Raw genomic sequence first — 17,680 nt, 5'->3', positions numbered from 1 at the left:
GAAAAAAAAACCCAAAAAGTACAAAGAATGTCTACTGATATACATACATACATACATAATATGATTTTTTAATGCATAGAATATTTCTAATAGAAGAAACAAATAAATTATTAGCTGGTGTGAGGGAAAACTTTTTTTTATATACCCTTCTTATAGTGTTTGCATTTTTACCACGTACATTATACAATTAACAGCAATTTTAAAAACTAAAAACAATAAATTAAAATAAATACAGTTTTCCTGAGTTCAGATACACAGGTTTAAATCCTATACAAAAATACAGCTGGCTCAAGTCAATGTGCCTGTCTCAAAATGATAAAGATCTGAAATCTGTTAAGTATTGTATAGCTACAATTAAATTGACCCATCGCAAACTCCGCTACATAGCACTAATGTTAGTGTTCCTGCCATGTATAAACTCAGATCATAGATATATAAACATCTTAACTACTTGGGATGCCAACTGATATTCTACGTCATGAGGAATTGATGAAATACAGAGAATAACTGGGGATATATAAGAAATTGGGAAATAGAAATATATAAATTCATACATATTGCTCTAATAAAAATATTCATTTGGGGTTTCATTACATACTGACCTTGTGGTCAGAGAATACCAAGACATAAGCATGAGGTTAATTTCCTGCTTCTTATAGGAAAATGTAAACCCAGACAATTTTTAGAGAGATTAAAACTACAGGAGAATACCTCTGAACATAATTTAAAAGACAAAGAAGGGGCGGGCATAGTGGCTCACACCTGTAATCCCAGCACTTTGGGAGGCTGAGGCTGGTGGATCACTTGAGCCCAGGAGCTCAAGACCAGCCCAGATAACATGGCAAGACCCTGTCTCTACCAAAAATACATAAAATTAGCCAGGTGTGGTAGTGGCACATGCCTGTAGTCCCAGCTACTCGGGAGGCTGAGGCACGAGAATCACTAGGACCTGGGAAGCAAAGGTTGCAATGAGCCAAGATTGCACCACTGTACTCCAGATTGGGCAAAAAAAAAAAAGAAGTTCTAGTGTTCAATAACACCGTAGATTGACTATAGTTAATAATAATTTATTGTACATTTCAAAATAGCTGGCTGGGCACAGTGGCTCATAACAGTAATCCCAGCATTTTGGGAGGCTGAGACGGGTGTATCACTTCAGGCCAGGAGTTCAGGACCAGCTTGGCCAACATGGCAAAACCCTGTCTCTACTAAAAATACAAAAATTAGCCGGTGTGGTAGCATGTGCCTGTAACCCCACCTACTTGGGAGGCTGAGGCATGAGAATTGTTTGAACCCAGGGGGCAGAGGTTTCAGGGAGCCGAGATGGTCCCACTGCACTGAAACTCTGTCTCCAAAGAAAACAAAAGATCAAAATAACTAGAAGAGAGGCTGGAAGACAGGATTCTGAATGTTCCCAACACAAATAAATGATCAATGTTTGAGATGATGAATATCCTAATTACTCTGATTTGATAATTACATTGTATGAATATATCAAAATATCACATGTACCCCATAAATATGTACAATTATTATGTACCAATAAAAATAATACTATTTGCCCATAGCAAATCATGAATAGAAAGAGCAAATTTTATCATTATTTCAAGAAAATTAAACTAAAATTCAAACACTGACACTTAATTAAAAAACGTTCAAATAATTCAGAATATTCCTATACCGCAGGATACAGAAAATGCTCACCTGTATAAGATAGCTCGATCTACACCAAAAGCTCCTACAATTAAGTCTTAAGAAAGAGTGGAAAAACATGTTAATAATGATAATGGTTTTTAAAATGTATATACCATTCTATAAAATTTTCAATGAATATAAAAAGGTTTGAACAAATTCTCAAAACTATTAAGAGGTTGTAAGACATCATATAAAAGGCTAAAATATATGAAAACTGTAAACAAACTACCACCAGTGGAAAATGCTTATCATAAAGTAGACTTTCATCTAGGTGGATATAAATCTTTTAAATGAATATTTAGTAAAAAGTAGCAATGATAATCATACACCTGCCAAACATACATACTGCCAAAGGAAAAAGCTTTATAGACGCCTGTGGATTTTACAATCTTACTGTAAAATTTCCTTTCTATTTTCTATATATAATGTGTGTGTGTGTATATATATAAAATACTATAGCAGATAGCACTCGAATCAGCAAGAATGAAATGCATTAGTTTTCATATGCCACAGGTTCAACTGGTTCACGATTCAGAAAAAGTCAAATGAGAGCTCTATCTCACAGTATACCCAAGCTAAATTTGAGGAAGTCTTTTCTAAACAGAAAATCACATGAAAAAAAAAATAAAAACAGATTAAATAACATAAAAGTTTAAAACTTTATGCTCAAAATGCAAATCTGACAAACTAGAAAATACATAAAAGAGTTAAGAAGTTAATATTTGCAACATTTAAGGCACTGTGAAAGTTTAAAAAAAATGAATGAATGAAAGAAAAGCAAAATACAATCCCAGTAGCAAAGAAGAAAAAAGAGACACAAAAAGGAAATTCACAGAAGTAAATGTGTGTATATATATACACACAAATGTGTATATATATACACACAAATGTGTATATATATACACACAAATGTATATATATACAAATGTATATATATATACACACAAATGTATATATATACAAATGTATATATATATACACACAAATGAAAATGATTATTTTTACTAATAATCTATAGTTAAGAATCAACCTCATAACTATACATTAGATTATTAGTAAAAATAATCATTTTTATTTATGTATAGTTAAGAATCAACCTGATGGCCGGGTGTGGTGGCTCATGCCTGTAATCCCAGCACTTTGGGAGGTTGAGGCAGGCAGATCACGAAGTCAGGAGTTCGAGACCAGCCTGACTGAGACCAGCCTGACCAAGACCAGCCTGATCAACATGGTGAAACCCCATCTCTACTAAAAATACAAAAATTAGCTGTGCGTGGTGGTGCCTGCCTGTAATCCCAGCTACTCAGGAGGCTGAGGCAGGAGACTCTCTTGAACCCGGGCGGTGAAGTTTGCAGTGAGCTGAGATCACGCCACTGCACTCCAGCCTGGGTAACAGAGCGAGACTTCATCTCAAAAAAAAGAATCAAACTCATGCCTTATTTCTAGAATCACAAACTGTTAGTTAAAATACACTGTCCACCTGTTATACAGTTAAAAATTATTTTAAAAGAAGCACAAGTATGGGAAAACAATGACTCATTTACTGCTGGTGAGTGCTTTAAAAAGTTGACAAAAACCTTCCTGTGGAGGGAGTGGGATGGTAACTTGACCATGTGTATTAATAACCTTAAAAAAAGAAGTGCACACACTTGACACAGTGATTCTTGAATTTTGTCCTAATGACATAATCAGAGATATGCAAAAGAATTATAAAGAAAGATAAAAATGCCACAAAAAAAGGTAAATAAGATATGATGCAGCTATTTGTTACAAAGGGAAACAGAAAATTCATGTTTTAGAAGAATAATAAAGAAATGTTTCTGAAACGTTGAATAAAACACTATGAATAGCATATAAAAGCATGATTTCCTTTTTAAAAAAATGTGTGTGACTGCACAGGAAAAACATTGAAAAGATATGCTTTGATGTATTTTCTAAAAGTTCTATAACAAATATATTGCATTTATAACAAAAAAACTCTAAAATACTACTAATTTATGAGAATCCACTTCATGTCTTATTTCTGGAAACAGACCAACACACTTGTATATTGAGCTCATATTAAGTGTTTCAACACAAAGGTCATCTAAATTTTCTACACTGTATTTCATTTAAAGAAAAGATCTGTTTTGATCCTAGATCCATTTATAATGCTCCAAAGTGTATAAGAACCAGAAAAAGGTCTTGCTTGCTCTACTGGACCTATGCAGTGGGCAACCTTGGGTAAACTGCCTTTCTCAGTCTCTTTTTACATTCAGAAATGGTATAATAATGAGCTATAAAAATGAGCTTATATTAACTCATGTATTAATGGGAGAATTAAATAAAATAATATACTTGAAAAAAAAATCACAATGAAGGCCGGGTGCGGTGGCTCACGCCTGTATTCCCAACACTTTGGGAGGCCACGGCAGTTGGATCGCTTGAGCTCATGAGTTCAAGACCAGCCTGGGCAACATGGCAAAAACCACTCTTTACAAACCATGCAAAAATTAGCCAGGCATGGTGGTGCTTGCCTGTAGTCCCAGCTACTAAGGAGGCTGAGGTGGGAGGATGGCTTGAGCCCAGGAGGTGGAGGCTGCAATGAGCCAAGATTGTGCCACTGTACTCCAGCCTGGGCAATAGAGACATACCTTGTCTTAAAAAAAAAAAAAAATCACAACTATTAGTCAAGTACATATATTCTACATAATTAAAAAAATAAAAAAGATAGCTAACATTAAAACAGCTTAGAATGAGCATTTAACTTTTGTTTATAACTTCTGTAATACTCTTCTCATTTCATTAAAGACTACAGGAGAAACTCAGAGTACACTGTACACTCCCAGGAAAGAGAGCTGACTTTTCTTCATATACCCTTAGGTGACGGGAATGATGCCTTGAATATTTTAGAGGTTTGATCAACATATGAAATACTGAATTGCAATAATTTATAACATAAATCAAGAACAGTAACTAATACTATTTGCTATTAGGACTGAAAAATCTAAGGGCTCTATGTGTTGATAAGAAAGCACCTGGATATCCATTTTTGTCTATATCTGTGGCTCCTTTCATTGAATAGCCAAAGCTTGGTGGCATGCTTCGAGCAGCCCACTGCCCTTCAAGGATTTGAGATGGGACTGCGTTCAAGCCTGTTGATCTTCCATTGAAGATATAAACAATTCCTTTTTTATCTTCACCCCCATATGGAGCAGCAATTGCAATATCTGTGGGGAAAAAAAGAGGAGGGGGAAGGAGAATGACAGAAGTAAGGAGGAGGAAAAGAAAGGGAAGAATGAGGAAGGAACGAGAGAAGGGGGGAAGAGGGCAAGGATGAAGAGAAGAAAGTTTCAGTACTTGTAATTATTTGTACAGATCTTAATATTTATAGAACCCATTCATCATGATAAATACTAATTCAAAGTTCAGTAGGGTACTCTTTATCCATAAGCAATAATCTAATTCAAGGAAACTCAAGCAAAACTGTACAGAAAAGACATTAATTTAGGGCCAGATAATCTGGCTCTGACCTTAAACCAATCACTTAAACTTTCTGGACCACAAATGCTTCCTCATTAAAACTAGGGGTAGGGGATGGAGGAGGACACATCAAAAGATTCATCTAAAGTTTATTTTCACTCTCAAAATTCTAGATAATTTATTTATGGATGGTATTGTTTTTTCTGAACAGAAGCCAATCTGCTCAGAAATTCGTAAGTTGTGACTTCATCTTGATCTTGCTCAACTTACACTGAAAGAAGATAAATGAATAACATTTTAAATCTTTAAAAAACCCCAAACACCAAATTATCTTTTCTACCTCTAAAATGTATTACCAATCTGCCCACTTCTCTCTCTGCTGCTGCCACCCTAGACAAGTCATTGCCGCATTTTGCACTTAAACAGCCTTTTTTTCTTTTCTTTTTAATTTTTGTTTGTTTGAGACAGAGTCCCGCTCTTTTCCCCAGGCTGGAGTGCAGTGGCACAATCTTGGCTCACTGCAAGCTCCACCTCCTGGGTTCACACCATTCTCCTGCCTTAGCCTCCCGATTAGCTAGGACTACAGGCGCCCGCCACCATGCCCGGCTAATTTTTTTTGTTTTTTTTTCAGTAGAGACGGGGTTTCACGGTGTTAGCCAGGATGGTCTCGATCTCCTGACCTCGTGATCCACACACCTCGGCCTCCCAAAGTGGGGGGATTACAGGCGTGAACCACGCGCCCGGCCTTAAACAGCCTTTTAAGTGGCCTCCCACTTCTACTCTTGCCTGTAACTTTCTCTTCAAAAGGGCCAAACATTCACCATATCATGTCACACCCATCCCCATCTTAAAATCCTTCAATTAGTTCCCAAAGCATTTAGAGTAAGTTCTAAACCCTACCTGGTATTTCCATTGTTTACCATGCAAATCTCATTCCTCTCCCCATCCCCACCCCCACGCCATCCAGTTTTTTACCCTTATTTACTCTTTCCAGCAATCCTGGCCTTTTTTTCTGTTTATTAAACACACCAAGCTAGCTTCCAACTATGGGCTTGTATTTGCTATTCTCTCTGCCTTTTGCTCCAGAGCTTTTACAACTCTATTCCTTCTATTTGTCCAAATGATAGATCAATGTCGTTCTGTCATTAGATCAGCTGTCATTCTGTCAGCAAGCTATTCCCTAGCCACCCTACGCAGCAGTGCACCACCCCTCTCGACCCCCTACTTTCTCTATCACCCTCTCTATCCCGAAACTCTATTATATTACCTTGCCTTCTAAAAAATCCATCATCTTTATCACTATCTGGATTTCCCCATTGTTTACTTATTCTATGACTACACAAAGTAAGTAAGCTATAGAACATAAGCTTCATGAGACCAAGGACATGTCGTATCTTGCCTATCACAGACCCTACGTACCAGTCATAACAAATTGCCTCAATTTCCTTAATGTACACGAGCTGTCTCATAGCTCCTTAATAAGCCATGCCTCATCATCTCCTGGCTCCCCTGAAACATCAACGATGCCTTGATCACTCATCCTTTATATGAGACCATTAAGCCTGGGATCTCAAACACTGTGATGATCACATTGAGGTACTTTTTTTTTTTTAAACATATATGCTGCCCCCATTGGATGCTGAGTTTCTTAAAGACATGAGTAGACTCTGATTTATGCTCATTTTCACCACCTAGAAGAGTGCCTGGCCTGCAGTAAACACCAACTAAGAATTTGTTATCCTTAAAAATGAGTACCTAACTTATGTAAAAGTATTCTTTTTATCCTTTTTTAAGCCTTAAAGGTAAATCGGCTGGGCACGGTGGCTCACGCCTGTATTCCCAGCACTTTCAGAGGCCGAGGCGGGTGGGTCACGAGGTCAAGAGATTGAGACCATCCTGGCCAACATGGTGAAACTCCATCTCTACTAAAAATACAAAAATTAGCCAGGCATGGTGGTGGGTGCCTGTAGTCCCAGCTACTCAGGAGGCTGAGGCAGGGGAATCGCTTGAACCCAGGAGGCGGAGGTTGCAGTGAGCCGATATCGTGCCACTGCACTCCAGCCTGGCGACAGAATGAGACTCAGTCTAAAAAAAAAACAAAAAACAAAACAAAACAAACAAACAAAAAAACCAAAGATAAGCATAACTTCTCTACTGACATATGCATTAATAAAGTAGTTATTAAAACAGGCTGGCCACGGTAGCTCATGCTTGTAATCCTATCACCTTTGGAGGCCGAGGCAGGCAGATCACTTAAGCCCAGGAGTTTGAGACCAGTTTTGGCAACATGGCAAAGCCCCATCTCTACAAAAAATACAAAAATCAGCCATGCACAGAGGTGCACATTGGTAGTCCCAGCTACTTGGGAGGGTGAGGTATGAGAATTGCTTGAGCCTGGGAAGTCGAGTCTGCAGTGAGCTGTGATTGTACCACTGCACTCCAGCCTGGGTGACAGAGCAATACCCTGTCTCAACAAATAATAAATAAAGTATTCATTAAAACATAATTTTGCAACAAAAGATGGCTCCAACGTTGAGTGACTGTTTAATAAAAATTATCTGTAACTTTCCTAAACGTTTCATTATTTTATACATGTTAATCATCTTCTCTCTTCGCTATCATCTGTCGAGTCTGGAAAATCCTACACATTCATGCAATTGATTTCTTCCTTTGATCATTTTAGATGCTCTTTCCTGCTTTTCTTTTTTTTCCTCTGCTTTTTCTGGAAAAGTACTGATAAAAAACTGCACATAATTACCTTGGGGCTATATAAAATTTTGGAACATAACTTTATTGTTTTGTTTTCAATATCCCTCTTGATGATGCCTAGGGTGGGGGTAGGTGGAAAGAGAGGAATATAGGAATACAGGAACAATGACACTTAATGTCTTCATGTATGAACAACAACAAAAGATCTAACATAACTAATAGAACATATACATGTATAATGTAACTATATTTGCACATATGTACTAAATACTATACATAAATACAGCTCAGATAATTTTTCACTAAAGACATTATCATTCACAATCTACTATTTGCTACAGTAAGACCCAAGGAGAAACCTTGGGAGACCATAATCATCCTCTATGGATGATTTTATCTATATTTTAGCCCTTTGTAAAATCATTGTAAAACTTCACATTTTTTAAAGCTGTTGTCTATATTTGTTCTACTGACAGACGACACATTATAACAAAAACTTAGAAAGCTGGAAGAGATGTTGGCTAGATCACAGTAATGAGAAAACTTTCTTTAAAGTAACTGGAATAACATCAAGACAAGGTGAAGATCACACATGACCAGGCTTCCCAGAAAACCTGGGAGACAGAGGCCCAGCTACATAGCAAAGAATTCATTAACTTTATTCATGATGGAACCTCAAACTTAGCCCTGTATTTCCTATGTAGCTTTTGTTATGATTAAGTAATGATTTGGTCTGTTATATAGTGTTCTTTTCACATTTTATTATGAACTTCATACCATAGCTCCATTTGATTTATGCTAAGTTCTCTTTGTGGTAAAAATCTTTAAGCCTCTATTTTAGGTAGCAGATGTACCTCTGAGTAGATGTTCCCTACCACTGAAACTTCTCCTGTTGGCCAGGCACAGTGGCTCACATCTGTAATTCCAGCACTTCGCACAGCCAAGGCAGGAGGATCACTTGAGCTCAGGAGTTAGAGACCAGCCTGGGTAACATGGGAAGACCTCAGCTCTACTAAAAAAAATAAGCTGGGCTAGGTGGTGGGAGCCTGTAGTCCCAGCTACTCAGGAGGCTGAAGTGGGAGGATCTCTTGACCCTGGGAGGTTGAGGCTGCAGTGAGCCATGATTGCACCACTGCATTCTAGCCTGGGTGACAGAGTGAGACCCTGCCTCAAAAAAAAAAAAAAAAAGAAAAAAAAGAAAGAAACAAAGAAAAAGAAATGACTACGGTTAATCTTCCAGATGACACATCTAGTAAATGACAGCACCTACCCACAAGACAGGTGTGAAATCTTGAGGGCAAACAACATTTACCTTTCCACTACTGTTTGAGACATACAACAAGTCATCTGTATTTTTAAAGTTTTCTTCTTAATGTATACCTTTCCTTTAGGTTTTAAGGGGGCATAGGCTTACTATACTGTTGATTACACAAACTAGTTCAACTATCCATTCTGTGATCTCTAGAAAGGTTTTTAACAGATTAAAAAAAAAATCTTGGTAATTTGTAACCTATATTTCAGGTTTCTGAAAAGAGTTCTAAAGTAAAAGCTAACTTTGCTTTTTAAAGATATCGACAACTATTAAAATGGTACTATTATAAACGAATAGGCTTATACTTTTAATATGCCACCATAAAGGGAGATATAACATCCCTTAGAACATTTTGGACAGCTACAACAAAGTTATGGCTTTAAAAATATTAATGGCAAATCATACCTTTGAGGTATGCATTAGTCAGCATTGCCTTGACAATGTGCCTGGAAGCATTTTTTTTTAACACTTGTAGCCAAATGAACAGAAGAGGGCACTGCTGCTAAGCAGGATGCAGAAACACATACCAGCTAGCAGTAGGCACCAGGGTAATGAAGGTTCCTTTCAGAAAGTAATCATTCTGACCTTCTAATTTGAGGCCAAGTGAATAATAACTCATGAGAGTCCATTATTGAAATCTTTGCTCTGATTTTTAAAGAAAAATAGCAAACTGTCTTTAAATTTGGTGTGTTACTCACTTACACACAATCCACCTTTCCAGGAAGGAGATTTGCTCGTGTAGACTTCTACAGATGGACTTACAGAACTTTTCCAGGTGGACACAGATAATCAGGGACCTGTAGCTGCTAAACTTTGATCTTACCATTGAAACCATCCTGGTCCAGATCTCCCAAAGGAGCTATGGCACTGCCAAACCGTGCAAAGACCTCAAATCCATTCAGCTTTGTCGTCTGGAAGTCTCCTGAAGCTCTCTGTAGAGACACTGAGACCTGCCCCACCTCTTGGAGTTTGCCATCAGAGCCACGATCCATGAAGAGAGGTGCTCCAATAAACACATCTGCATAACTAGAAGAACAGAAACTTCTCACCAAAGCAAGAACAAATTTCATGTCTTAGTAGGCATTTTCTTTCTTACTACAACTCACTTTTCCTCTTTCTGCATCTCTCACACCCACAGTGAAACACAAAATGATTACCAGAGCACTCATTTCAAATTTGAAACTTCCTTTAATTCTTTTAAGAAACTATGAATAATTCATAAAATTACTTTATTTGTTCATGTTATAAAAGCTACTGAAAAAAAACAGAACAAACATATGAGGTTTTCTAGAATTCATGATTAAGGTTGCTTCAAATTGTTTCCTTAAACAGAAAGATTAGCAGAAAAGGAATACAAAAACAGAAGAAAAAAATGTTTAGTTTGAGTAAAGTATTCGTAAACATGAGAAGATAACTTTCTGGAAACATTTTTTTTTAAACTTACTCATCTCCATTAATGTCAGTGGCAGCTACAGAAAATCCGAAATATGCAGCCATCTGGATAAAAAGATGAAAATGAAATGTTTATATTTCATCCAATTAGTTTAGACAATTAACATTTGTAATATATGTACCAAATAGGGTTATTTTTTTTCTCTGCATATAGTGCTTCAATCTAAATGTCTTGTCTTTTGTTTATTCTACCAACACAATGACAATCAGGTAATGAGGCTTGTTGTTTTCCTAGATCATGGACACAATATATTACATGTATATACACAATATATTACATGTATATCCTTCCAGTGTTGTTGATATATGACATTTAAGTCTAAGGACTATCAATTCTCCTTCTCAGGCCTACCCTACTATCTCCCTTTCTCTCCACTTCCCAAAACATACCAGACACAAGCACACTAACAAAGATATATAGTCACAGACAAATGTTGTGATTGAACCCAACAAGTTTTATATGGATGCCTATGTCATGAGGATAATAGATAATAATTATTAATAACAGATAATAATTGGCTCCCCTATGTGTAACTACTACTACTGTTTAAAAATTACTGTTTGGAAAGATATGGAAAGGAGCTCATTTTTGTGTCATATCTCTATAGATTACTTGCCACATGATTTTGCTTTTGAATCACACACAGTACAAATGTGTTTGGGTTTATTATGAGCTTATAATGCACAGGGAGCAGAAATGTCCTCTTCCCTACCACAGGAGACCACAGGCTTGCATAGGATGAGCAGCTTAGCTGTAAATAAATGTGAAAAAGGAAAGCTCTAAAGAGAGCTGAAAGTGCAAAACAAAACTAAAAGAGATGACAGATTAAATATAAAGTAAGGTGAAAAATGAGTCAACAAACCAAAAAAGGAAAGTTAGCAATGCTTCTCAAATTTGATTGGCTCAGATATCAAGGGAGAATGATAAGGGAGATTCCTGCATTATCTATTTTGGGTTGATACAGTGTAATTGGGAAAATGAAAGGTGTGTTCTGTATTAAATAACAAGTTCAGAGCTTGTGAAATAAAATATACTGTGTTTGGGGTACAAGGTTGATGTGCCGACTATGTAACAGAATAATATTCATGGGCCTTAGTCACCTATGGTGTTTGGCTTGGAAGTGTAAAGAAAGGATGGCATTTACTGAGACACACTTTGTCCCGGGCACTATGATTCGAATGTTTTCTTTTGATTCTCACAACTGTCCCATGAGGAAGTTGTCAGCATCCCTATTTTTATAAATAAGAAACAGATTTTCAGCAGCAAATACCTTATCCAATGCAATAACAGATTGAGCATGGAAAACCCAGGTTTGTCCTCATCTAAAAGCCACGCTTCCCACTCCTCTCTAGCCACCCCCACTTCCCAATAGTGGAAGGAGGAATAAAGCAAGTATCATTGAGTGCATGCAGTAGGATCCAGACTCATACATGGTCACCAGACAGGAGAAGCTGCTTGAGCTGGAGAAGTCAAAACGGAACAAAGGGACCACCCCTGCAGCAACCCTAACTGCCTGTCAACTGCAGGGCCCTCCAGGTTGTGCATCAATCTTGACTGCCATACAAATGGGAGGAGGTTTCTGGGGACCATGAGTCTAGTCAGTCAGCCTGTCAATCCTATCCCAAAGCCCAACAATCTCAACTGAACAAAAAGGCTTGAATCCCAGATCTGCAAACTTTGAGAAAGATTTTTCTCTACCTACTGTTTAAATGTTTATTCATCATTACCAACTTATGGTATAATTCTTTGAGACATACAACAGAGAATATTATAAAATGCCTGTACTCGCAGAGAAATGTCTAATACTTAAAAAGTACTAGCATTTTTTTAGCTGAGAAATATCTTATTTCATGTAGTAAAAATGAAGTTCGCTTATAATATCTATAATACACATATCTGTGCCATGCTTTCTGTTGCATCTAATAAAATTATAAGGCATTGATCATCCTTAAAAAAGAATTTAAAGAATTCTTTTCTCTTTTTTCTTTTCAGTAAAGAAAAAGGAAGTCTTTGTGGTTTTGTATGCATGTGATTTTGCATTTCCTAAAAAAAAAAAAAAAAGGAAACAAAAACAAGCCAAAATATCCAAATTACTTTGGTTAAAACAAAGATGAAATATTTAAAGCCCATCTTATATCTAGAATATTGAATATTATGGAATCATTAAACCATTCTGATACTGCCAAGGAAAGTTTTAAGAAATTAGAAACTCTGATGATAAAATATTGAGTGAAAAAGGCAAGACAAAATGAAAAATACAGAGTAAACCAATTTTTGTTTATATACTACACACACACACACACACACACACACACACACACACACACGCTCAAAAGAGAAATGATAATAGTTTGACCAAAATGGTAAGAGTTGGAAGAATTATCTATTTGATGAGATTATAGTTCATTTTTACAGTTTTATTTCGCAAATTTTCTCCAATGAGTACATACTGCTTTTATAGTGGGAGAGGACGATCATATTTTGGAAGCATACCTGCTCGCCAGTAAAATTGTATAAGGAGGACATGTTCTTCCCATCATAAATATAAACCTGTGAAGGAAAAATAGAAGTATGTGAAATCTGGTAAAATAGAAGATAACTTAGAGATTTTTTAAAAAATACCTTTTAACTGTCCTACCATTCCCAAAGTCCTTGCTGCTCTTGGAACTCCTGAAACAAAGTCTGAAACAAACAAACAAACAAATTATTCATTTTTTAGGACAACACTGGAAGTTGCAGACCAGAAGTGACTATGTCAGCAAGCTTTAAGTTTTACTACTTCAGTTCAAAACAAACAATCAATTTAGAAAAATTGGTACTCCGTAATAAATAGCCCAGCATTTTTAAACTATAAAATCAAAATTTACAAAATACAAATTCTGGAGGGCTCTCAAACATATGCAAATAAGCCCTCAAGTCATTTGTAATATTGTTAAACAAGAATAGACAAGATAAAGTAACCTAAGAATGAAGAAAAACTACATTTAGTTTAGTAGTACAGTAATGAAAAATAATACAGAGCAAACTGAAGTGGGGTAGAAGTGGCTGTGGCACAAAAATGTGATCAAAATCAGGTAAAGACTGTGATTCCTAAACGGAGCTCTGAAGGAAGATGGATGGACAATGAGAGGATGGGGTAATAACCGTACAGAGATGGCCCAGAAGGTAACAAAGGATGCCTAAAGAAAGAAGACACTAATTCTTCCTCCCAGAGGAATGAATTTGCTGAAGACAAGGAGGAAAATGCTAAGGAAATCACTAACAGTGTTGGGGGCTAAAAAGAAGCAGAAAGGAAAGGCACTGAAGCCAAGTGTAGCTGTCTCAATTTCAGCAGCCACTAGAGGAAGTTCAGCACAGACCTAGCCTGGACTCTCACCAGTGTGCTAACATCTTCCTCATTTCTTCTGTTATATTCCATAACAATGGTTTAAAATTGCTTAAAATTTTATTTTCTTTTCCTTTTTTTTTTTTTTTTTTGAGACAGGGTCTCGGCTCTGTCGCCCGGGCGGGAGTGCAGTGGCGCAATCACAACTCACAGCAGCCTCAACCTCCCTGGGCTCTGGAGATCCTCCCACCTCAGCCTCCTGAGAAGCTAGACACTGGTGTGCATCACCGCGCCCGGCTAATTTTTGTGTTTTTTCTAGAGGCAGGGTTTTGCCATGTTGTCCAGACTGTTCTTGAACTCCAGGGCTCAAGGGATCCACCCGCCTCAGCCTCCCAAAGTGCTGAGATTACAGGCTGCAGCCACAGCACCCAGCCACTCAAACTGCTTAAAATTTTCAATGCCACATGTTTCAAATACTTAATCTAATTTTTTTAAAGATTAGATATAGTTCAAGTACTTCATACCATCTATGCCATCACCATTGAAATCTCCGACAGCCACAGAATAACCTAAACAGGAAACCAAAGGGGAGAACCATCAGGACAAGGACGTTATCTTCAGCAGGCTTGCTGAGTAAGCATTCCTTGAAAATATTTTCAAGAAACTCCTTTACTTATGCAATATTTTGTCCCCTAGTCATAACAGATTCATATATATATGACATATGAATTTTAAATGAAACTGAGTTAAATACTCAAATAGTCTATTTTTATTACAAAACTACAATTGTCTTATTAACTTTACAAAGGAGTCTGTTAAAAACACCAAATTTACAACTCATCATAAAGAACAAATAAATTCTCTCAATCAGCAAGTACTATTTCTGTCATATATGACTTGTTTTAATATATCATAAAGAAATTGAAAGAGAGAACACATGTTAATAAGTCCTAAAGACCAAAACTTTTATTTAACATCATGAAGAAAACTTCAGGAGTTAGACTGTCTCCATTTGAATCTCTGAACAGCAAGTTACAAGCGAGTGACTTTGGGCAAGTTATTTTGCGTCTCAGTGCCTCAGTGTTTTCACCTACAAAATGAGAATAATACAGTATGCTTGACTTGTGAGGATTAAATGAGTGAATACAAACCAAGTCACCTTGAACAATGCCCAGAACACAGTAAGCATATCTTAAAGGCTAGCTATTATTATTATCACTGCACAAATAATCACTGTCTTCAATTTCAATTACTGAAACGTAACATAACCAAAGTACTCATTAACAATTTGAAATTGTATATTCTGTATGTTTCAAAAAATCCTAATCTATTTCACATAAAATATTTTTCTACTTAAAAGACCATACTCAGATATAAGATATATGTACCACAGTTCCAAAAATGAGTAAATTTTGGTTTTACCTACCCAAATAGCTGTCATCAAAAATAGCTTGTGCAGTCCGAGTTGCTAATTGGTTATTATACTTGATGCTGTAAACATTGGGGTCGTATTTAGATACGATTTCTGCCACTTGATCCGAAATAAGCTGACCTAAAAAAGGGTGTATATATAAAATAAATAACCTTCAAATGGAAACTTTATGATACAGATAATGTATGGTACCTGCATGAAGGAAAACAATATTAGATATTAGTACTTCTAATTATTAGCCGTACATAACTCTCCTTGATCATACTCAATTTGAAAATGGATATTCTTAACTTAAAATTATTTCTGTTTAAGCCAGTACTTAAAAGTAGTCTCTGCTAATAAAAATTTAAGAAAACAGGACTTGTCTTAAATCACTAGAAAGCAATGTTAAATACACGGAATAATAAAATCAAAGGCTATCACCCAACTAATCCATTAAAACATGAAAAATTTACTGAAACAATACTGTTACTTTTATAATCAGAATAATTGGTTCAATTGATATTTTTTAACTAGTAATTTAAACATCTTTAGGAAACAACCTGAATGGATGAGTTCACCTTTGTTCACAACCTTGTTATTAAGCAGACAAGAAATCTAGATGACTACACAAAAATCAGCCTGCCCTCCATGCCAAGAAAGGATAGCTGGTTTATCAAGTGTTGTCTCCACAATATGGACACAGTAATCTCTTATCATTTCTGCTGTTTTAGAAAGAAATGTGTAACAGCTAACATTTTCAGTCCTGTTCCCATCTGTTCAGTCACAGAGACTGGATCTACAGCACAGAAGCACTTTCTCTGTCCAGGTCACTACTTTATCATCTGGGCTTCAGCGGTACCAAGAACATATGAAATTCAATAAACATTTCCTGAATTGAAGAACAGAGGAAAATTCATTATTTCTTCTGAATAAAACATTATTCTTTTCTCCATTCTAACAACGACAATTCTGAGATCTGTGAAAAAATTCATTCTAACGTACTTATCCAGGGTGACATCTGCTGATTTTAATCTTATTAAAACAAAATACTATTTGCCAATTCACTGAGTCTGCTAGCTATATATTACAGACAACTTGTAATAAAATTCTAATAAATATAATATTAATAGTACCTCTCTGTCCTAATTTATTACTGTGTCCTAATTATTACACATTCCTATTTATTATTATTCCTATTTATGCAATACCCATGGCATTAAAAAAAAAGGTCATACATTTTCACAGCTGTATCTCTTAAAAAGACAGAGTTAACAAGTAGTCCTAACTGAGAATCACAAAATTTAGCTTCCTTGACAGTTTTGGTTCCCAGGCATGCTCATCAGATACTTCCTTCCCCTCCACTGAATGACATAATCAGCAATAAAGAAGAAAAATAAATCCATATTTCTATATCTAACTATAAAGTGTTAATATCCCCTATTTTCTCATATGTACTTTAGAACTGCTATTTTTGTTTTAAAACAGTAAAACTCAATTATAATTTTTCTAAATCATTTTATTTCCCAATAGATGTATAATGCATAGAAATTCCAATTTTTCAGCTTTGCTATGTCTCACATTCTGATCCCTGTCTGTGATGCCTGAATTTTCTATTTTTTTATTCCCTCCTTTGCCTTCCCTTTCAATATTTCACTTATTCCTAGTTTTCTTTTCTTCTTATTCTCCTTCCATCCTGTCATCCTCCAGCAAATCTCTTTCTTTAGCTTCCCTCTCCACAAGGCAAAAGCAAGCATGTTTTCTACAAAGAAGCAAGTCAGGAAAGCATAGTGTAGAAAATAGAGTAAAATTTGAAACTTTCAAATCAATCCAGTCAAAGGTTTTCTAATTCTTCCAAACACTGACAATGCTTGAATATCAGAATGCTAATACAAAATAGTTCACCTCATAAATGGCACTTTTTAGCAGAAACTAAACATGTCAATATATTGATGAGATAAATAATTGTGTATCTCTAATGATACATAAAGAAACATAAAGCAAATAAAGTTTTAGTTATCTATATTCACACTGTCAACAATAATCTATTGTACATATGTTCAAATGGTAATTTAATTAGGCCTCCCAGAATGACTGAATAATATAATAATGCATCTTTATATCAATGCCAGTTTAATATTTTTTAAAAACCTATTAAGATCCTCCAATTTTATTTTATTTTATATATATTTTTTGAGAGAGAGTGTCACTCTGCTACCCAGACTGGAGTACAGTCGTATGATCTTGGCTCACTACAACTTCCTCCTCCTGGGTTCAAGTGATTCTCCTGCCTCAACCTCCCGAGTAGCTGGG

At 36.1% G+C, this 17,680-nt stretch overlaps 1 protein-coding gene across 4 annotated transcripts in view; it reads right to left on the bottom strand.

The window, feature by feature from the left end:
• ITGAV (integrin subunit alpha V) overlaps nucleotides 1–17,680 on the bottom strand; it is a 90,846-nt gene that overhangs the window by 29,312 nt on the left and 43,854 nt on the right. For all 4 annotated transcript variants that reach the window (NM_002210.5, NM_001145000.3, NM_001144999.3 and 1 more), the window contains 8 exons: nucleotides 15,383–15,508; nucleotides 14,481–14,525; nucleotides 13,270–13,313; nucleotides 13,125–13,181; nucleotides 10,623–10,675; nucleotides 10,002–10,204; nucleotides 4,713–4,904; nucleotides 1,705–1,750 (listed from right to left, as the gene is read on the bottom strand). In NM_002210.5, the coding sequence (NP_002201.2) occupies nucleotides 1,705–1,750; nucleotides 4,713–4,904; nucleotides 10,002–10,204; nucleotides 10,623–10,675; nucleotides 13,125–13,181; nucleotides 13,270–13,313; nucleotides 14,481–14,525; nucleotides 15,383–15,508 (766 nt within the window). The remainder of the gene's footprint in view (nucleotides 1–1,704; nucleotides 1,751–4,712; nucleotides 4,905–10,001; nucleotides 10,205–10,622; nucleotides 10,676–13,124; nucleotides 13,182–13,269; nucleotides 13,314–14,480; nucleotides 14,526–15,382; nucleotides 15,509–17,680) is intronic.

The sequence above is a fragment of the Homo sapiens genome, chromosome 2 (genome assembly GCF_000001405.40).
Source record: "Homo sapiens chromosome 2, GRCh38.p14 Primary Assembly".
NCBI lineage: Eukaryota > Metazoa > Chordata > Mammalia > Primates > Hominidae > Homo > Homo sapiens.
This window is presented reverse-complemented; position numbering and strand designations above follow the sequence as displayed.